Source organism: Homo sapiens, chromosome 1 (assembly GCF_000001405.40).
Source record: "Homo sapiens chromosome 1, GRCh38.p14 Primary Assembly".
Classification (NCBI taxonomy): Eukaryota; Metazoa; Chordata; class Mammalia; order Primates; family Hominidae; genus Homo; species Homo sapiens.
The window spans coordinates 116,693,063-116,715,279 of NC_000001.11; the positions used below are offsets into that span (position 1 = coordinate 116,693,063).

The 22,217-nt window shown below is 43.6% G+C and overlaps 2 long non-coding RNA genes and 1 pseudogene across 2 annotated transcripts; 1 reads left to right on the forward strand and 2 right to left on the reverse strand.

Annotated features, from left to right (window-relative positions):
- The first annotated feature begins 1,049 nt into the window (after nucleotides 1-1,049).
- Nucleotides 1,050-13,541, forward strand: LINC02868 (long intergenic non-protein coding RNA 2868). Its single transcript, NR_149353.1, has 4 exons — nucleotides 1,050-1,135; nucleotides 1,697-1,793; nucleotides 12,887-12,942; nucleotides 13,395-13,541. It is a non-coding gene; the product is annotated as a long intergenic non-protein coding RNA 2868 (long non-coding RNA).
- On the reverse strand, nucleotides 13,346-17,427 carry LOC105378926 (uncharacterized). Its single transcript, XR_947741.3, has 3 exons — nucleotides 17,355-17,427; nucleotides 17,167-17,230; nucleotides 13,346-13,429 (listed from the first exon to the last, which is right to left on the reverse strand). It is a non-coding gene; the product is annotated as an uncharacterized LOC105378926 (long non-coding RNA).
- GAPDHP64 (glyceraldehyde-3-phosphate dehydrogenase pseudogene 64) lies at nucleotides 20,573-21,844 on the reverse strand (annotated as a pseudogene).

A 22,217-nucleotide genomic window follows, 5' to 3' on the forward strand; every position in this document is an offset into this window, starting at 1 on the left:
ACAGCTTAGGGCAAACACGTGGTCATGAATAGGACATGTTGCCAAGCAGACTGAAGTTATGTTAGGAAGGGAGAAGCGCAGGGATACAGTTATATTGGATAAGCAGCCACACAGCTTGCTGCTGTGTGCATTTATTCATTTATTCATTCAACAGATATTATCTATCATATACCCAGCATTGTGCTGGAGGTTGTGGACAGTAGTGAACATGAGAGACAAGATCCCTCCCCTGCCAGACCTTCCCCTCACCCCCTGCCCTTTGAGATGGAGAGGGTGTCCAGGCCTCCCCCCTTCACCCTCTGAGGTGGGGAGGCGTCCAGGGCCTCGCATCTCAGCATGGGACTGATAGGCTTGCCCTGACCTCTCGCAGGCATGAACACTGCTGTCTGGGCCGTGGCACACATGGGCATTTGTGTGGGCACCAAAGTCTTCCTCATCTGCGAGGTAAGGCTGAGGTGAGCTCTGTGTATGTGGGGAGCAGGAGCCTCCTGGGGTGCAGGCTGGGGTCTGGTCTGTGTGGGTCACCCTGGGAGCCTTCAGATGACCCTGGTGGAGCTAAGGTTCCAGACGTTCCCGTAGGGAAAGAGACGGTGGCCATGTAAACAAATAAACAAGATCCTTGTAGAGTGCCGTAACTATCATAAGGAAATCAGCAGAGCAGTGGACAGAGTGTGAACAGGGCCTGCACTGGAGGCGGACATGGAAGGTCCTCTGAGAAGGTAACATTTGATGAAGTAGGGAGCAACAAGTCCAGTGCAGATCAAGAGAGAGGACTCCAAGCAGAGCCAACAGCAAGTGCAAAGGCCCTGAGGCAGGAATGAGGTGGCTGTGTGGCTGAAGCAAAGTCTGTGCCTAATGACTAATCAAAAGTTGCTTCTGGCACCCAGCCTGGCTCCTGCCCCAAGCTGAAAACAGATCACCAGCAACAACTCTAGCTTCCCAAGCCTCTCCTGCCTAGACATGCAGCTCCACCCAGGTCAGAGGTACAGCTGCAGGGACCACAAAACAATGGGCTTAGCTCTGTGAAGACAGGAAAAGCCACCATGGTTTTGACAAAGAACCCAGGAATGGCGTTAAAGACTTCTTTGGGCAGTGTCCAATTTATGGAGCAATTTTGTTGGCCACATCTACGGAGGTATAAAAAAGACAGACATAAGGCAAGGATGGAACTACTTTGTTTATGTGTGTTGATATCCCTTCCCCATGCTCCTGTACGCCTCATAGCTCCTGCAGCGTGGTGGGTGATCCCAGTGGCTCCTATTTCACCTGGAGGCAGGACAGTGCTGCTGCCATGTGTGGCAGCTCTGCCAGGGGCTGAGGAGGCAGAGACTGTAATTCTCAGTTTGGTGTAATAATCCCTACCACTTTTCTGCGGCTGAGTTTCTGGGTGGGCATAAGTTCACTGGCAGCCTGGGTCCCCAATCTTATTCCCCTCCAGGCCTGGTAGCTCTTCTTTCTTGCAGTGAAAACCTCTCCGAGGGTTTTAATGATCCTGTCCAGTTCTGGCCTGCCACACCCATCACAGCCTGGTCAGTCCAGAGAGCGCTGAGTCCTCCTGCTTCCTCTGTCAGCAGTGACATCAGGCATCCTCCCTAGGCTTCCTCTGGAAACTCATCCCTTTTTGTCCCTCTTCCAGGTAGCCTTTTCCCCAGAATGTTGTTACTGGATTCATTTGATATTTTGTTTTCCTTTGAAGCTTTTGTGAAACTTGCGTAGGCTCATGGAGTATCCAAATGAGGCAACATCACCATCAGTCCTCCTTCCCTGGCTCACTGCCTCAGGAAACCAACCTGGTAGGTATTTCTGAGACTCCCAGTTTCTATGGAAGTCCCTGGGGATTTCTCACTCAAATCTGCAAAGTGCTTAGTCTTCCTGGACTTTTGGCTCTAGGCAGTTTGCTTGGAAGTATTGAAGGAGAGTAGCTCCCTGACCCCCATGTGATAATATTACAGGGCCTCAGAGCAGGGTTGTTTGGCATTCTAGGGGCTGGGAGATTGGTGAGACACCCCAGATGTCTGCTTGACTTCAGGGTGGCTGATTAGGGTGGGCTGATTACAGTAGAGTCCACCACCCTACACTCGGAACCGCAGCTTCCTCTGAATTGCAACTGTGCTGCTGCCTGGGACAGATTCCTTTCTTTTTAAGGTTGAAATTTCTCTTAAGGAGTCCATATTTGGGTTTTGTCCCTAACCACCCCACCTCCCCAATTCCCTGTCCTAAGTTCTGCAGGCACCAGGGACCGCCATTGTGAACACAGGGGGGTTCTTTCCTGGAGCTCCAGAATCCAGGTAGACATCTGGGAAGTGATGGGAAAAGAGGTCATTCCATCATTTGGACAAATCTAAATCTAAATTTAGCCCCAGCCTGCTATAGAATATCAGCATGAAAGAAACTTTGGAGGCTATTAGGTCAACTGCTTCATTTTGCAGATGAGAAAACAGAGGCCCAGAGAGGTGAAGTGGTTGGACCAAGAACATGCACCTCATGGCAGAGCTAGACTGACCCTGTTTCCTGACTTTCAGTCTGGGTCTCCATTCAATGTGCCTTCTGCCCTTGTCCCTTTTGAATTTTATAAAAGGTCCTTTACATTCAAGAGCCTCTTCTTTCTGTTCCCCTGCCCACCCTCTACCTTGTAGAACTTCTGATAAGACACCTAGGCCATGAGTGGCATTCTTGGGCTGTCTTGAGTGTGAAGACACCTTTGTGGCTAGCCTCCTTGAGCACATATGCGGGATCAACACATATTTATTGAATCAGACTAGGGCATAATTTTCCTTTTTTTTTGTGAGATGGAGTTTTGCTCCTTTTGCCCAGACTGGAGGGCGATGGCGCAATCTCGGCTCACCACAACCTCTGCCTCCCGGGTTCAAGCAATTCTACTGCCTCAGCCTCCCGAGTAGCTGGGATTACAGGTGCCTGCCACCACGCCCAGCTAATTTTGTATTCTTAGTAGAGATGGGTTTCTCCATGTTGGTCAGGCTGGTTTCAAACTTCCGACCTCAGGTGATCTGCCCACTTCAGCCTCCCAAAGTGCTGGGATTACAGGCATGAGCCACCATGCCTGGCCAATTTTCTTTTTTTTAATTCTCCAATAGTATATTAATAGAACTACTGTGAAAATGAAAGTGCGTATTTTTCATTTAAATAATCAGATTAAATCAACTTAGACTGTTATTTTTCCTGCAGGACTTACAGCTTATAATGGGCTAAAAAAGCACTGTGACTGTTGGCCGGGTGTGGTGGCTCATGCTTGTAATCCCAGCATTTTGGGAGGCTGAGCGGGGCGGATCACGAAGTCAGGAGATCGAAACCATCCTTGCTAACACGGTGAAACCCTGTCTCTACTAAAAAAAAAAAATACAAAAAATTAGCTGGGCGTGGTAGCAGGTGCCTGTAGTCCCAGCTACTCAGGAGGCTGAGGCAGGAGAATGGCATGAACCCGGGAGGCGGAGCTTGCAGTGAGCTGAGATCGCCCCACTGCACTCCAGCCTGGGTGACAGAGCGAGACTCTGTCTCAAAAAAAAAAAAAAAAAAGCAGTGTGACTGTGGCCATTTAACATGAACTTCAAAAAGTGTTCTCCGTACGATATTTTGGGAAAAGCTGCATGAAGGTGGATGCATGGAAAATCGAAGGCTTGCCTGATCCCCTTCCAGGGAATCCTGGTTCTCTGGGGCAGCCAGAGCTATGACTGGTCTCCAGGACAGGAATGTGCCTCCTCACTGGTGAAAGTGCCTCTCTGTGGCCTCAGGGCCTCTGTGAGGCAGGGCAGAGCTCCTGTCCCTGCATGAGCACACTTGGGGCTTCTGGAGTGGTTGAGACACTTATACTCCCTGCTTCCTGCTTCCTGGAGCAGAATTTAAGGAAGACTACTGGGCTTTTGCCTCAGGAGACCAGACGAAACAAAACCTGCTTTCAGAGGGGCATTCTTCTGACTTTTCCTTCAAGTGGAATTGTGACTGTAGGTTTGGGTTTGAACACCGAATTTCAATTTTGTACACACACACCAAGAGGCCTCAGGGCAAGGGGGTGTTTGAAATGAACACCAGCCCAAGTCCTCTACCTGCCGAGTGTTCGATTAAGCTGCTTAGGTCTGTTTCCACCATCCTGTCTTTCAAATATTTATGTGTCAGATTATAGGCAAGCTTCAAAGGCAAGGAAATGCAAATCTGTTCTATAAATCATGGAATAACACAGCTGCTGTCTTCCTCAGTGTGACAGCTTACGAATGCCAGCATTTCTGTCTGCAGAAGGGGTGGTGGAAGTGGGCTTCTCGAGCGCAGCCAGGCCTGTGTGCGTGCCAGTGTGTGTGTGTGTGTGTGTGTGTGTGTGTGTGTGTGTGTGTGTTGGGGGTAGGGAAGAGAGTAGGGCGTTCTAATAATATTTGCATTTTTGCAAAACAGCAGTTTTTTTGTTTTTTAAATTTCCCAGCAGTTAAGGAGTTAATTTAATTTGCTAATCTTAAAGAACTGTGGAGGGATAAAACCTCACTTGGGATCTGAGGCATCCAGAAAACAAGAGATGAAAATGGCTTTCAGTTTTGGGGAAATATACCTAGAACATAAAGTAAGGGGAGAGAAGTCAACAGCAATAACTTTGGGGATTCCAAAATGAATTTAATTTAGTGTAAATGAATAAAAAGGAAATTGTGCATTGCAAATACTTATGCAAATTAAGTTTTGCCCCCAGGGTCTTAACAATCTGCCAGTGAAGCCCCCAGTGTGCCAAAGATTAGACTTTTGTGGGCTCTTTTCGGCTGTTGCCATGAATACATCGATTTGGTACATTGGTGTTCAGTGACACATTAACATCCACCAAGACCGACAGTGGGGTTTATGGTCCTTGCCCAGCAGCTGGTTTTGGCCTGGTGTCATTCTGAGGAAAAACCTGGGAAAGCTGCAGTCAACAGGGTGCAGGGGCCCAAAGGAAGATGGTGTATAAGACAAAATGAGTGGGGATAAAGTTTGCCATGTATTAGTCAGGATTCTGTTGCAAGTGACTCAAACTCACTTAGGCAACAGGGGGAGTTTTCTGGGTCACTGAAGGGAACATTGAATAACCAAATCATGGGAAAGGAACGAAAGTAATTGGGCTTGGGAACAGTTGGAACAAAAACTGGAACACTTCTAGGACTGTCTTCCATCACCTGTCTTTACTTTTTCTCTCTATTGGCTCCTAACATGGCTGCATATTAGGACTAGTAGATTTTGTGCCAAACGACTTTTCCTATTATAAAGACTGTTTTGCACCTGACAACTTTTGTCTCTGTAGAATCCTAGTTTGAATAATCCCAGAGAAGAAATTTATGATTGGTTGAGCTGGGATCAGGTGTCCATGCCTGGACCAATCAACTGTAGGAAGAGGACAGAGAGTCACATAAAAACATGGCAGCTCTTATGGTAGTCATATTGATGATGGGAGGCTTTCCTAAAAAAAAAAAAAGGAGTGGGGAAGCTTTGGACAGACAGTCCAGTAAGCATCTACTACATTCTAGAGAGCGCTGGAAAAAAGACCAAAGGAGGCAAAGAAAGGGGGCCAGGAAAGATTGTGTGATGAATGAGTTGCATGTTGGAATTCATTGATTGACTCCTTGAAATTCAATATTCCATAGGATTCCTTAATGATGCTAAATGCTCCTGGTTCTTCTAGTTTTCTGATAGCTCTTATTCTGTCTCCTTGATTGTTCTGGATCCTTCTCTTCTCTGCACTGAGAATCTCCTCAAGATTACAGGCCCTTAGTTATGTATCTTGCCTCTAGAGAAGACAAATAGGTTCTTTCCAACTGCATAAACAGTATTCCCTGTCAGGACCCTCCTCTTACCTTCCAGAAGAAATCTACACTTGGATTTCCTTTAGTCACATTTAATGCCTTTCTAAAAAAGTGTGGTTCCTGAACCAGTCACATCAGAATCACCTGGAAGCTTATTGGAAATGCAGAATCTTGGGCCTTGTCACAAAACTACTGAATCAGAATCTGCATTCTAACAAGATGACCAGGTACTTTGTAAATCCATTAATTTGGAAAGCACCACTTTAAGCAATTAGAAATGGAACTCATAATCAACCTGCTCTCAGTGGCGAAATAAATGTTTTTTCACAATTTTCCTACCAGGTCAATGGCAACCCTGTCTAAAAACCCAGATTCACAACAACTCTCAAAATTACTTTTCCAATACTTTCTTGTCTTCATTACCTATGTCCAATCTATCACCAATTTGAACCTATTAATTCCACTGTCCAATTGGTCTGTTTTTCCTAACCATGCCTTCCTCACTTTCTGCAGGCTCTAATAGATGCATTTGCCAGTCAGCCTCCTCATTTAAAAAATGGGTCAAATAATGCTTATAATGCCTCATATACATATTTACATAGAATACAAATTTAATGTGTAATTATCTTCATCCTGGTAGGACTGGTTTTCCACTATGGCTTTGTATACAGTTGTAAGGGATATTGCAAATAACATATTATTAACCATAAAGTGCCAAAATCTATGAACAATTTTGATTTTAAATAAATTAGAAGGGATTAAATATTATTTCTAAAATTATTTTCCCTCATCTGCACTTTAATATGCTATAATGAGTAACAGAGAAAGTGGTGGAATAATACCAGGTAGGCCAGGAATTATAGATAGGAGTGTCTTACACATGAGCATCATGTATCACAGAGGTCAGCAAACTCTTTCTGTGAAAGGCCAGATAGGATTTTAGGCCTTCTGGGCCATATGGTTCCTGTTACAACTACTCAACTCTACCATCATAATGAGGAAGCAGCCAGAGGCAATACTTCTTGATTACTGTAGCTTTAAAGTAAGTCTTGAAATCAAATTAAGTCCTTCAGTTTTGAACTTCTTTTTCAAAATTGTTTTGGCTAACATAGGCTATTTTAATTTCTTACAAATTTTAGGTTCAGTATTACAATTGCTTAAAGAAAAAATGCCTGCTGGGATTTTGATTGGGGTTGCATATAATCTATATATCAATGTGATGAGAATGGACAGCATAACAATATTGAGTTTTCCAATTCACAAACAGTTATGTGTCTCCATTTTTTAAATGTCTTTAATTTCTTTCAGTAGTTTTTTTGTAGTTTTTAGCATAGGTCCTATACATGCTTAGTTAAATTAATTCCAAAATATTATCTATTTCTGATGCTATTGTAAATGATGTTTTACATTTTAATGTCTCACTTATTTGTTGCTTGTATACAGAAATACAATTTATTTTTTATGTTGACTTTGTATTCTACAACCTTACTAAATTCACTTATTAATGTAGTAGCCATTCAGGGTAGACTTGTATTTTCTAGATAGAAAATTATGTACATGGCTGGGCATGGTGGCTCATGCTTGTAATCTTAGCTCTTTGGTAGGCTGAGGTGGGAGGACTGCTTGAGGCCATGAGTTTGAGACCAACCTGGGCAACACAGCAAGACCTCATCTCTATTAACTAAAAGAAGAAAAGAAAAAAGAAAAGAAAAGAAAATTGTGTACTATGTGAATAAAAAAAGTTTAACTTCTGTTTTTCTAATCTGTAAGATTTTTTTTTTTTTTTGGTCTTATTTTACTGGTGGGACACCAATATTAATGTTGAATAGAAGAGAAAAAACAAACATTCTTGCCTGGATCTCAATATCAATGGGAAAATGTTGAGTCTTCCAATATTAATTTACAGTATTTGCTCAGGTTTCTCATTGATTCCTTTATTAGGTTAAGATGGTTGTCTTTTATTCCTAGTTTACTGAGTTTTAAAAATCATAACAAGGCACTGAATTTCATCAGATGATTTTTCTGCATTGTTGTAAATGATCATAGGATTTTTCTTTTTTATTCTATTAATGTGATGAATGACAATGATTGATTTTCAAATGTTAAATAACCTTGCATGCCTGGAATAAACTCCATTCAGTCATGATGTATTATCATTTTAATTGTATTTCTGGATTCTAGTTGCTAATAGTTTGTTAAGAATTTTTTATCTATGCTATGTTCATAAGGAATTAGACTATAATTTTCTTTTAATGTCTTTGTCTGGTTTTGTTATTAGAATAATGGTGACTTCATAAAATGAGTTGGGAAGTATTTCTTCCCCCTCTATTTTCTGAAAGATTTTGCTTAAGATTGGTATTATTTCCTTTTTAAATGTTTGATAGAATTCATTATTTAATCTATCTAGGCCCAGAGTCCACTTTGTCAGAAGATTTTAAGTTATAAATCCAATTTATTTAGGCTTAACATAGAATTGTTGAAATTTTCTATTTCTTCTAGTGTCAATTTGAGTTATTCATGTTTTCAAAGGAATTATCCATTTCAACTAAACTTTTTAATTTGTTGGCATAAGTGGTTCATAATATCCCCTTTTTATTTTTTAATGTCTATAAGACTTATAATGATGTCCCTTCTTTTATTATTAATATTTATTTTTGTGTTTTTGCTTTTTCTTTCTTTATCCATCTTGCTAGTAGAAGTTTATTTTTTATTTTTAGGGGTTGTTTTCTCTTTAATGGAAAACAAAGCTTATTTTGAGGATTTTTTTCATTCATCAAACATTAGCTTGGAATTGATGACTGGCATAGTATTGGGAGTTTGGTTGGGGAGGGACTACAAAAATCAGAAGATAGTTTTTACTTTCTTGTTTTAAATTTTGTTCTATCAACTACTGAGAGGGGGTTATTAAAAATCTCAAACTATACTTTTGTATTTGTGTGTTTTTTCTTTCAGTTCTGCCAGTTTTTTCTTTGTGTATGTTCAAACTTTGTTGTTAGGTGCTCATACATTGAATATTGTAAGTATTCTTGATCAATTGACCCTTTTTTCATGATGAAATATTTCCCTTTAATCTGGAAGTATTTCTTTTTTTTTTTTTTTTTTTTTTTTTTGAGATGGAGTCTTGCTTTGTCGCCCAGGCTGGAGTGCAGTGGCGCGATCTCAGCTCACTGCAAGCTCTGCCTCCCGGGTTCACGCCATTCTCCTGCCTCAGCCTCCCGAGTAGCTGGGACTACAGGCACCCACCACCATGCCCAGCTAATTTTTTGTATTTTTAGTAGAGACGGGGTTTCACCGTGTTAGCCAGGATGGTCTCAATCTCCTGACCTCCTGATCTGCCCACCTCGGCCTCCCAAAGTGCTGGGATTACAGGCGTGAGCCACCGCGCCCAGCCTGGAAATATTTCTTATGAAGTCTACTTTGTCAGATTTCAAAGTGGCCACTCTAGCTTTATAATTAATATTTGCCAGGTATATCTTCTGTTCTTTAACTTTTACCTGTATGTATCTTTGTATTAAAAAACTAAGCCTTGTAGAAAACATATAGTTGGATGTTGCTTTTCTACCAAGTATAATAGTATCTCTTAATAGATGATTTTGGTCCTACTATACTTTTCTACCAAGTATAATAATACCTTTTAATAGATGATTTTGGTCCATTTTTACCTAATACAATTCTTGATATGGCTGTGTTAAATCAGTTAACTATTGACTTATTGGTTTCATTTTTTTCTTTGTTTTGTTTTCCTTTCTCTCTCCCTTCTTTTGAGTTAAAAAGTTTATTTTTTCATTTTATTTTCACTATTGTCTTATTAGCTATAACCTTTTTAATAGTTTGCTCTAGGGTTTATATAATGTGTCTTTTATTAATTTTTTTCTTCTATAATGTAGAATCTGCTTTTAAATCTGCCTAGTGGGCTTTTTATTTTAGATATTGGGGTATTTTTTAGCTTTAGATGGCTGATTTGTTTCTTTTTCTTTTTTTTTTTTTTTTTTTTTTGAGATGGAGTTTCACTGTTACTGCCCAGGTTGGAGTGCAATGGCGCAATCTCAGCTCACTGCAACCTCTGCCTCCCAGGTTCCAGCGATTCTCCTGCCTCAGCCTCCCAAGTAGCTGGGATTACAGGGGCCTGCCACCACACCCAGCTAATTTTTTCTGTTTTTAGTAGAGACGGGTTTTACCATGTTGGCCAGGCTGGCCTTGAACACCTGATCTTAGGTGATCCACCTGCCTCAACCTTCCAAAGTTCTGGGATTACAGGTGTGAGTCACCGTGCCTGGCCTGTTTCTTTTAATGATTTCCATTTACTTATTTATTATGTTCCTGTTTTCCCTTAATTGCTTGAACAAATTTATAATCATTGTTTTAAAGCCCTTGTTTGCTAATTCCATCTTTGTCATTTCTAGATCTGCTTCTATTGTCTGATTTTCCCTTTCATTATGGGTTACACTTCTTGCTTATGGCATGTCTAATAATTTTGACTGGATACTGGCAATTGTGAATATTCCATTGTTTGCCTAAATTTTCTTGTGTTTCTTTAAAACTTATTGATTTTTGTTCTTGCAATAAATTAATTTCAGATCAGCTTTATCCCTTTGAGGCTTTTTTAGAAAGAGTCTAGAGTATCCTTTGCTCTAGGACTAGTTTAGCCCTACTAGTAAGACATACTGTTTCTGGGATTTCACCTGAATGCATCAAGTACCCAATGAGGTCTTTCCCTTCTGGCTGGCCTGATCTCAAGTATCTCCCAATCCTGTGCAAGCTCTGGTAGTTGCTCAGTTTATAGTTCCCCATAATTTATCTTTCCTTAATCATTTATTATTTCCCAGGGTTTATGGAGTTTCACTTTAAACATATACATCTTATTATTTAGCCAAAGATTCAAGAGGATCCTCTGCAGATTTCTGGAACTTATTCTGTGTTGCTCTTTCACTCTGCTACTCTGTCTCACAAGTTCCATCCAGCTGCCTCAGCCTTCCTGAACTCCAGTCTCTGACTTTTTGAGTCAATGAGACTGCCATACTCTGATTGAATTCCCCTTTCCTGCAACTGGTCCAGAAAATGCATTGAAATAAAAGGCTAGGGCTATGGCAGGGCTCACCTCACTTGTTTCTCATCTCTCTGAGATCTCACGCCTGAAATGCCTATTGTTCAATAACTGAAAATAACTATTTCAGATATTAATATTTTTGTGTAGTTTTCTAGTTGCTGACACTTGGTGGACTAGATGTGCGCTAGTTACTTCGTTCTGACCATAAACAGTCTTATTAAAATTTAATTTTATGCTGTTTTTCATGAACACACCTTTCCAGTCAATTTTCAGCTGATCCCTATATACAATTTGATGTTCTTCAGTGTATTTAGACCTTTCAGGCCTTCCTCAAATGCATTTTCTCCTTTCTTTCTATGCCTCACTCCTTACAAAAGCTATTTCAAACTCATCTTTTCCAGAAAACCTCCTATGATTAATCCATCCACCCTCTTTATTCACCCGCCCTTTGTTGTAATTTGTATTTCATTTCTACTACATTAAATTGCACTTTTGGCCATGTAGTTTTGTTAAGTTTTTGGCAGTCATTTTATGTGTGACTGTTTTGCTGATGATTATAAGCAGAAGCTTATAAATAGAAAAAGCCTGTCTTCCGTTTATTCCCTTTGTTGCAAACCCACCTAATTCAACTGGCTGTTCCCAAGGTAAATATTGGTGACCCTCTATAGTTTGGTGGAGAGGCATTGTATTATGAAACAAATGAAGCTAAATATCAGAGCTCTCATGCGATGGACCACTTCCAAGGCCCTGGGAGAGTCCCCAGCCATCTGTTTATATGGTAGATGGTTTTATAAATTTTGCAAGGGACAGATTTGAACCACAATGGAATAAGGCACTCTCTCTTTCCATTATGAATTTCTTTCAGCCAGTCTCCCCTTTCAGGTGGTGGGGAGTGACTGTAAGCATTTTGGGGATCTAGTCAAGGAAAGTTGAGTTGGTGATACATTTAGCTGAGGTTTAGTGGGAGGTATTTATGTGGTTTGCAGACATTTCCATGTATAGTTAACTTATTCCTAGCTGTCCTGTGCAGGAATATTCTTACCACCCACGGGGCAAACTTACCAAGTGATATAACAGGAAGATACAGAACCAGAGTACCTATGAACATGAACCTATGCTGTGGCACCCAGCACTGGATCCTTACAGGGAGTGGGGAAGAAACAAGGTTTTAATTGTGCAAAGCCAGAAACTAATCTCTGGAAGTGTCTTTCCATTAAGACATAAACAATTCTAAGTGGAGGATTCTGTTCTCATCCATTTCTAGTAAAGGACATTCTGTCAGGAGTGTGCTCTATATGCAGTGTATACAATTATAAACACTCCATGATGTTTTCTTTTGTGAAGATATTATGCAAAACTAAATTCATCAGAATTTTTCTGTTTATAGTGCACAACCTTGTGGAAGAACTACAAAGAGTGAACTTGTCTATTGAAGTTGCATGTTTTATGAATCTTAAAAATTAACATGGGAAAAATTTTGATCAACCAAGTTAGAGGAAGCACCAAATTATTTTATTCTCTCTATAGAAAGTATTACAACATGCTGGTGACATGAAGAGGCCATCGAAGAGGAAGCAGCAAAAAACATAAGAAAATATATTACACAGCCATATCAACCATTAGTTAATAGAAATACTGTGTTATTTGGGGGATTTTTGTGGTATTTGTAAACTTTTTAAAATTTGAAGTCATCGGCCAGGCACAGTGGCTCACGCCTGTAATCCCAGCACTTTGGGAGGGCGAGGCGGGTGGATCACCTGAGGTCAGGAGTTCAAGACCAGCTGCCAACATGGTGAAACCCCGTCTCTACTAAAAATACAAAAATTACCCAGGCATGGTGGTGCATGCCTGTAATCACAGCTACTAGGGAGGCTGAGGCAGGAGAATATCTTGAACCCTGGAGGTGGAGGTTGCAGTGAGCTGAGATCATGCCATTGCACTCCAGCCTGGGCAACAGAGACTCCATCTCAAAAAAAAAAAATTTGAAGTCATTTTTTCTCATTCTGTATAAACATTCATTTTCATAGATAATTTTGTATTTATAATTTTTAATATTTCTTTTCCAAAGAAGACCCTGAAGGTATGTAAGCCTCAGGCCCCACAAAAGTTGGATCCAACCTTGAGCAGGTGAGGATGTTGCCTCTTCCCCTTCTTAACCTTGTTATCAGGTGATACGTTTTGGCTATGTCTCTACCCAAATCTCATCTTGAATTGCAGCTCCCATAATTCCCACATGTTGTAGGAGGGACCTGGGGGGAGATAATTGAATCATGGCGGTGATTTCCCCCATACTGTTCTCATGGTGGTAAATAAGTCTGACAAGATCTGATGATTTTATAAGGGATTTCTCCTTTCACTTGGCTCTCATTTTCTCTGTTGTCTGCTGCTTTGGTAAATATTAGCTAACCATCCCTGGAGTATGCATTCCCAATTACAGTAAGTTATCATCCCTTGGGTGCAGATTACATCTAAATAACATATACAGCAAATCACACTGCCAGTGCTGAAGCGTTTCAAAGTAAATTCAGACATAAACAAAGTAAACAGAGAACATAACTTACCTATCTCTTCTGTTACAGTTGCTTTTTCATTGAGTCCTGTGGAGCTCAGGTTCCTGTGGAGGGTAGCAGAAGGGAAACTTCAATTACAGTATAACTGGTCTGATCTGTTCTACATATTAAAGTTCATGCTATTTTCTTTGTGATAAATAAAGACTGTTCTGCTGCATCTGAAACTCTGAAAACCATTGCTCTAGCGCTAACCGCCTGTCTCTATAACAGGTATCCACTCACAGTTATAATGAAAGCCCAAAGATGTGCTTGAGTTAGCTTATGTCAATGAAAATGTTGCTAGAGACTTGGTCTAGATTTGCTGAGCGGCATGTGAAAACTACAGTGTACTCTGATCCTCCTCTCCCTCTCTCTTTTCACCACCATTGTTGTCAATATATATTCCTTCCACATTTTACCCACAGAAATCTTTGTGTACTGGGGTCACATTCTCCATAACCAAGTTGTCAAACAGGAAGACTTCTGGAAAAGAAGATTTCTCCTAACTTGGGGAAGAGCACTTAGAGGGAAAGAGATGAGAGATGGTCAGAGCCAGGATGTATTTAATCTTGGTCTGCAGTGGACATTTATCATCTGCCAAGACTCCTTCTTTCTGGCACTGACATCCTTTCACTTAGGAACATCCCCCCAATGATGAGGCTCTGTAAGGGCTTCTCTCATTTTCCCTTGGACTGTAAGATGACCTAATATTCCAAGATATTAACCAAGTGCTTTTTTTTTTCTTTGAAATGGAGTTTTGCTCTTGTTGCCCAGGCTGGAGTGCAATGGTGCAATCTCAGCTCACTGCAACCTCTGCCTCCCAGGTTCAAGCGATTCTCCTGCCTCAGCCTCCCGAGTAGCTGGGATTACACGCATGTGCCATCACGCCTGGCTAATTTTGTCTTTTTAGTAGAGACAGGGTTTCTCCATGTTGGTCAGGCTGGTCTCGAACTCCCCACCTCAGGTGATCCACCCTCCTTGCCCTCCCAAAGTGCTGGGATTGCAGGCATGAGCCACCGTACTTGGCCTAACCAGGTGCTTTCAAAGGTGTTTTGAACCAAGAAGCAAGTCCTGCCCTGTTGGATGCAAAACTGGAAACATGTGAGATGGGAACTGCTGGCATCCATGCCTCCAGCCTGAGAGGAAAGCCAGCCAGAGAGCATAGAGCTGCCTGCAGCACGCAGGAAAAAAGGGTGAGGAGAGCGTGTCCCGAGAGCCTCCAGCTTCTGGTTCTAGTGGCCACTGATGTCCAACCCTGTTTCTGCCCTTCTTGTTTTGGTTACAGGAGCCCACAAATCCTCTCTACCATTGGCGCTTATTGGAATTGAATTTCCATCATTTTTTTAAAACCGAGAATGTACAAAACAACGCACTGGCTACAGCAGCAAAATTATAGAGCCTGATAAAAGAAAAGAAATAGAAACCACAAGAAGAATGGAGGAAATCTCCAGTAATTCACAGGAAATAAAATAAACCAGGGAGAATAAAACTTTGCAGTCTTGGATGTCTGCACCACAGGCAACAGAGTATAGGCACTGATACAAGTGACCTTGAGATCATAGCTCAGGAAAGCCCTTGTGCCTGTGCTGGTTCTCTGAGCCCAGGCAGCTGGGATGGCAGCAATGGAACAGCATTCCTTTCTCAAAAGACAGAGCTAGGAGGGAATGGAGTGGAGGAGACCATCATGAGAGCTCCTGCATGAAAACCCACAAACCATTAGTAGAGAGAGTAATGGAGAAGGTAAGGAGAGAGAGGGAAGGGGGACTGTGGTCTGCACAAGAGGTTGTGCAGCCAGATTTAAGGCCTGGAAGCCACGCTCCTGAGAATCACAGTCCACATGCTGGGTTGGGGCAGAGAGCCACATGCAGCTCACTAGCAGGGAAAATCAGGGCCTGGAGACATAGAAAGCCAAGAGTCAGGCAGCAGCAACTGGCTGACCCTGGTAGGCAGTTCCAGGAGTGGGCACATCTGGGCTCAGGGACTGGAAGCAAAATGGATTGACTCAAGAGTAGACAAATATGGGTTCAAGGTCAATCAAAGAGCAGAAACCAGGTGACACAGGTGAGTCAAATCTAGAAAGAGAGTTGTAAAAGTGGGCAGACACAGGTAGAGGAGGACCTAGGAACAGAGGCTAGAAACCAGAAGGGGTCTGCTGGGGTGGATGGACGGAGGGGCAGGAGCCAGCAGACACAAAGTTGCGCATGGAATTTCACCAGATGGCTGTCTGCTGCTGAGCTGTGGCTTTTCTTCCTGCTTGTCCACAAGCAGGTGGCTCTGCCCTCGGGGCTCAAAGGCATGAGCAGGCCTTCTGACAACACATTTGACAACGCTGGCACGGAGGCAAGATCGAGTGGGGATAGCTGGGAATCTCCTTCTTCTAGACCCTGGGTGTCTGATAAATTCTCCTCATGCTGACAATTTCATCTTTCATAGTTTAAAGAAAGAAATGAGAGGGACTGCTACCCTGTACCTAAGTGCTCTGCAGAAGTGGAAGTGATAGGGACCCTAAGAGGAGCCAGTTTTTGCAAAGTTGGTGGTATCCGGGGCTCAGGCAGAACCCATTCGGAAAGCAGAGTTCAGAAGTATTCAGAAAAGAGACTCTCAATGAGAAGACAGCTCAAGAGAAAAGGGAGGCTAATTGGGGCTAATTGTATTTTGTTAACAGATGATAGCAAGAAGGCAGAATTCAGGCTGTGTGCGGTGGCTCATACCTGTAATCCCAGAATGTTGGGAGGCTGAGGCAGGTGGATCACCTGAGGTCAGGAGACCAGCCTGGCCAACACAGAGAAATCCTGTCTCTACTAAAAATAAAAAAAAATTAGCCAGGTGTGCTGATGCATGCCTGTAGTCCCAGCTACTCAGGAGGCTGAGGCGGGAGAATCGCTTAAATTCAGGAGGAGGAGGTTGCAGTGAGCCAACATTGCACCACTGCACTCCAGCCTGGGCAACAGAGCGAGACTCTGTCTCAAAACAAAACAAAACAACACAGGCAGAACTCCTCAAATTGTACTTTACATCCTGGTTCTCAGTCAAGAAGACCCATCTTCAGACTGGAAAGGGCAGAATTAGTGCTGATTAGAGGGAAACAAAGCCACATAAAATTGCTCTGAGCAGACTTCACACACCCATTAAATACCCCACCAGAATTTAGCCCTCGCAAAGGGTTCCTCAGATATTTCTGAGATTCTCTCTGGGTGCGGAGCTGCAAATGCTTGTTCACTACCCCAAATCATCCCCTGATGCTAATGACACTCAGGATACGGACCCTTTGCAGGGCATAGCTAGCCAGCTCTGCTGCTGCCAGCACCTGGGATGAGGGATGCCGGACTTCCCTTTGCTTTCCATCCTAAGCACAGGACACAGCATTCCCTGAGTCCCCAGAGCACAATCCTCTCTCTAATACACAAGCTGCACAAGTGCAGGAATTTTTGTACCCCACCCACACCCCCACTTATGTAACCCCAAGGTCTAAAACAGGTTTGGTAGGCAGTAGGAGCTCAGTAAATCTCTGACTCTTTAACAAGTGTATAATAAACATTCAAAAGTGAAAGAAAGGGCTGGACAAGGTGGCTCATGCCTGTAATCCCAACACTTGGGAGACCAGGATGACTGGACTGCTCGAGCCTGGGAGTTCGAGACCAGCCTGGGCAACATAGCGAGATGCTGTCGCTATTTTAATTTTTAAAAAGCTAAAGAAAGAAAGAACAAGGCGGATAATAACTAACAACAATTAAAAGATGTTGTGAATTTCAGGATCCTCAGACTCAGATTTAGAAATGCCCGGTGATGAAAATGTACCCACCTTAAGCAGGCTGATGGCTTGGCATGCAGAAGATGTCTTTGTGGGCAGAAAAAGCTTCACCAGGCTGAAAAAAATAGAAAAATGTGTCCCCTCTCCCCACCTGCAAGGCAGGCAGATACATTAGAAGACAGAGATCCCACTTGGTGGGCAGGTCCTTGTCAGGTAAGGGTTCGGTTAGTAGGTGGTACCTTTGTGTCAAGAAGAAGGCGTGCCTTTCTCCCAGCAAGGGCAGCCCTTGGGTGCACAGCTTGGCCACACTCTGTTGGACAAAGCTGCACTGTCTTCCTACAGGGCTCCTATCCTGTCATGTGGCATGAGCCAGCACAACTGCACACAGTGCAAGTGCCCTCAAATCAGGTCTGCTCTGCCTAGAATCCCAGCCCCACCCCACCCAAGACCCAGAAAGGGGAAGGGATTCTCAAGCTGCCTCCCTGCACTTATTTCTGCCCAACACCTGCTCCTCCCTGGTGACCAATGATGGGACATCTATTCTCCCAGGAAACCCAGCCCTCACTCCAGGCCTATGATCTCATCCTGTGGCACCCAGTACAACAGCCCCATCAGAACACAATAGTCTCAAGGGCTTTGGGGTCATTATACTTCAATAATGCCACTTGAAGGGCAGAAACTGTCCATTGAACACACTTAGTTCTCTTTTATAGGCTGTCTTCTAGGGAGAGGTGAATATTCTGCCTGAATGTCCTTCTGTAGTCCTCTGGGCTGGCTGGTATTGCAAACAATTGCTCTGGCAAAAAACACTCTCCACTCTGCAAGGATAAGCAAACACTGTAATTCACTACATTCCTACCGAGTTAAGAAATATTTCACTCCTTCCTGGAAAGCAAGAAAATTATAGAGACTTAGCTCAGGCTTGACCATATCCAAAAACATACACAACCAAAACAAAACATTTATCATCCAAACCTAAAATCATCATCCAGAATAATGATGACTTTATAATTGTTCCAAAGAGCACACTGGGCACTTGTTCCAGGCATATGTGTGTAACAAAAATACCCATGAAGTGTGACCCAAGGGCTGACTGTTCAGATGAATTCTGTAATGGTTAATATTAGGTGTCAACTTGATGGGCTTGAGGGATGCCTAGATGGTTGGTGAAGCACTTTTTCTGGGTGTGTCTGTGAGGGTGTTTCTAGAGAAGACTGACATATGAGTAAGTGGAGTGGGAGAGGAAGACCCGCCCTCACTGTGGATGGGCACTGTCTGGTTGGCTGCCAGCACAGCAGAACAAAGCAGGCAGAAAAAAGCAGGCAGAAGAAAGCAGGCAGAAGAAAGCAGGCAGAAGGGGCATATGCAGCTTGCTGGGGCTTTCTCTTTCTCTCTCCCTTCTAGAGCAGGCCTCCTTTTCTCCTTCTGCCTTTGGGCATCTGACTCCAGGTTCTTCGGCTTTTGGACTCTGGGACTTGTACCAGTGACCTCTGGGGTGCTGTCAGCCCTTCAGTCTCAGACTGGGAGCTGCACTGTCAGCTTTCCTGGTTTTGAGGCTTAGGTCTTGGACTGAGACAAGCTACTGGTTTTTCTGATTCTCCAGCTTGCAAGCCCTATTGTGGGACTTTGCCTTTGTAATTGTGTGAGCCAATTCTCCCTAATAAACTCACATACATATATACACACACATATACAATTACTCAGGGTTCTCCAGAGGGACAGAACCAATAGGATACATGTATATATATGTGTATATATACAAATGTATATGTATCTTATATATATGTATCCTATTTGTTCTGTCCCTCTGGACAACCCTGAGTAATTCACCATCTTCTTTCTGAACAAAAAGTAATGCTGGTTTGAATGGCAGTTTCTTCCAGATTCTACCCATATGGTTCTTAAAGACAATGATAGGGTCCAGGATAAAAAAGTAGTTAAGGGAGTGTAAAAGAGCTTCATGCAATTGGAAGTGGTGTCAAGTTTCTTGGCCCAAAAACATTTTACCCTTGGGTGCTAAGAGATCTTGCAAATGCATTGCTCAGTTCTATCAATAATCTTTGTGGGACTGTAGTGAGCAAAAATGGTGCCATAGCACTGGACCCAGGCAAATGTCCTAAGTGCAAGAAATAGAAGTTGAGTTCTGGAGATTACAGAACGGCAAATGACCTAGATTCTGGTCATATTTATGAATAAATTGTTTAAAGAGAATTTATGAGCACCTACAAAAGGAAGTAGTGATTACCAGTGTAACTAAAATGCAGGTTAGTTGCTCGCTGTATGTGGAGTCCAGTTAACAAGAGCAAGGTCTGATAGAAAAAAAAGCAAATTGATTCCAAAGTTAGCTTGGGGAAGGGGCACAAAGGGTCCTGCCTTAAAATGTGCTGCTTCACTTTGGGAGCAGAAAGCAGGGATTTTTATAAGGTAAGGGAGGAAATGAGCAAGGGCAGGGGGTCTCCCTCCTAGCTTGATGATGAGTTGGCGCTTCCTGGGCAGAAGTAAGTTGAAAAAGTGGCCAAGCGGGTGTGCTTTCGATTTCCCCTCCTGGTGGATGAAAGTCCTGAGGCAACCCTGGGAAGATGGAAGTTCCGAGGCAACCTCTGGATGTGAAAATTCCTTGGTGGGTGTGCTTTGGTCTGCAAATCGACTGCCAGCTCTCAAGGAGAGATCCGTCTTGGAGCACACAGTTAGAAAAACTTGCCCTGTAGGGAAAGCCAGGTGATGGGGAGGAGAATGGTTATATTTGCATTTCTGAAGGGCTAAGGGGGCCAGGGAGATGAGAAAAGAAGAGAGAGAGAAGGAAAAAAACAATTAAATCACCTCTAGAAAAACAGGGGTGCTGGGTTACACTAGGAACTAGTATAGATTCACCCATAATGTTAAAGGCAAAGTAACCACTTTTCCTTTTTGAGAGGACTGTTAAACTCAGGAGACTGAGGTAGTGTGTGTGTCTCAAGGAAGAGAACAAGGCTTTCACTCCATTTCTGACTTTTTAAATTAGAGGTTGTACATCCATGGCTCATGGTTTCTTGTGTTTTAGTTGGCTCTGCCCAGCATTTATGATACTTTCAATTCAGTTGCTAACATTTAAAAACAAGGAGTGTGGCAAATCCTATTCTTGTCCCCAGTTATCCCTTACCCTCCCTTTGTGGCCTATGGGAGAGGCGTAGGTCCTCTCCCCACTCCCTCAGGCCTGGACAGGGGCCTTGCTTTGGCTAATAGGGTGTAAGCAGAAGTGACCTGTGCCACCTGGTGAGCAGTGGCTTGAAGAAGCACCACGTGGGTCTGCGGGCCCTCTTCTCCCTCGGCCACAAAACGGTGTGTCCAGGATGGGTCTGCTTTACAGCTGGATCCTGGAACAAGAAGACATGCAGAGCAGAGCCACAGCTGCTGACAACAGGAGCAGAAATGAACTTTTCTTTTCAATGCTATTGTAAATGGGATTTTTTTTTTTTCCTGAGCACAGGGGACTTTATTGATAGTACGTGACAAGATGGGGCTCCCTAGGCCCCTCCCTCTTCAGAGGATCTGCATGGAAATTGTGAAGAGGGGAGATTCTCAGTGCAATGGGGGACTGAGTGCAGCAGAAACTCCCCAGCAGTGAGGGCCTCTCTCTTCCTCTCATGCTGTCACTGGGGCTGGTGGTCTGGGGGTCTTACTCCTTGGAGGCCATGTGGGCCATGAAGTCCACCACCCTGTTGCTGTAGCCAAATTCATTGTCATAACAGGAAATAAGCTTGACAAAGTGGTCATTGAGGGCAATGCCAGCCCCAGTATCAAAGGTGGAGGAGTGGGTGTCACTGTTGAAGTCGGAGGAGACAGCCTGGTGCTCAGTGTAGGCCAGGATGCCCTTGAGGGGGCCCTCTGATGCTGCTTCACCACCTTCTTGATGTCATCATATGTGGCAGGTTTTTCCAGACAGCAGGTCAGGTTCCTGGCCAACACATTGTCAGTGGGGACTCAGAAGGCCATGCCAGTGAGCTTCCCATTCAGCTCAGGGATGACCTTGCCCACAGGCTTGGCAGTGCCGGTAGAGGCAAGGATGATGTTCTGGAGAGCCCTGCGGCTGTTATGACACAGTTTCCTGGAGGGGCCATCCACAGTTTTCTGGGTGGCAGTGATGGTGTGGACTGTGGTCACGAGTCCCTCCACAGTACCAAAGTTGTCATGGATGATCTTGGCCTGGGGTGCTAAGCAGTTGATGGCACAGGAAGCATTGCTGACTATCTTGGGGCTGTTGTCCTACTTCTCATGGTTCAAGCCCATCATGAACATGGGGGCATCAGCAGAGGGGGCAGAGATGATGACCCCTTTGGCTCCCCCTGCAAATGAGCCCCAGCCTTCTCCATGATGAAGATGTCAGTGGACTTCACAACATACCCAGTGCCAGCATCACCCCATTTGATTCTGGTGGAATCTAGCTCCTGGAAGATGGTGATGGGATCTCTATTGATGACAAGCTTCCTGTTCTCAGCTTTGACAGTGCCATGGAATTCGCCATGGGTGAAATCATACTGGAACATGTAGACCATGTAGTTGAGGTCATTGAAGGCATCATTGATGGCGACAATATCCACTTTACCAGAGTTAAAAGCAGCCCTGGTGACCACGCACCCAATACAGCCTAATCCATTGACTCCAGGCTTCACCTTCACCATGATGTCTCAGGGATGCAGCTGGCGCTACACGAGAAGATGCAGCTGTCTGTGGAATGGGAGGAGCAGAGAGCCGGGATTTTCTTAATTGCTTCCCTCCCTCACTGCCCCCCCACCGAGGCAGAGTCTTGCTCTGTCGCCCAGGCTGGAGTGCAGTGGCACGATCTCCGCTCACTGCAACCCCCGCCTCCCGGGTTCAAGCAATTCTCCTGCCTCAGCCTCCCGAGTAGCTGGGATTACAGCCATGCACCACCACTATGCCAGGCTAATTTTTGTATTTTTAGTAGAGATGGGGTTTCACCATGTTGCCCAGGCTGGTCTCGAACTCTTGACCTTGTGATCTGCCCACCTTGACCTCTCAAAGTGCTGGGATTACAGGCATTAGCCACTGCTCCCGGCCCTCTTGATTGCTTTTTTAGAAAATTTGTTGTTAGTGTATAGAAACAC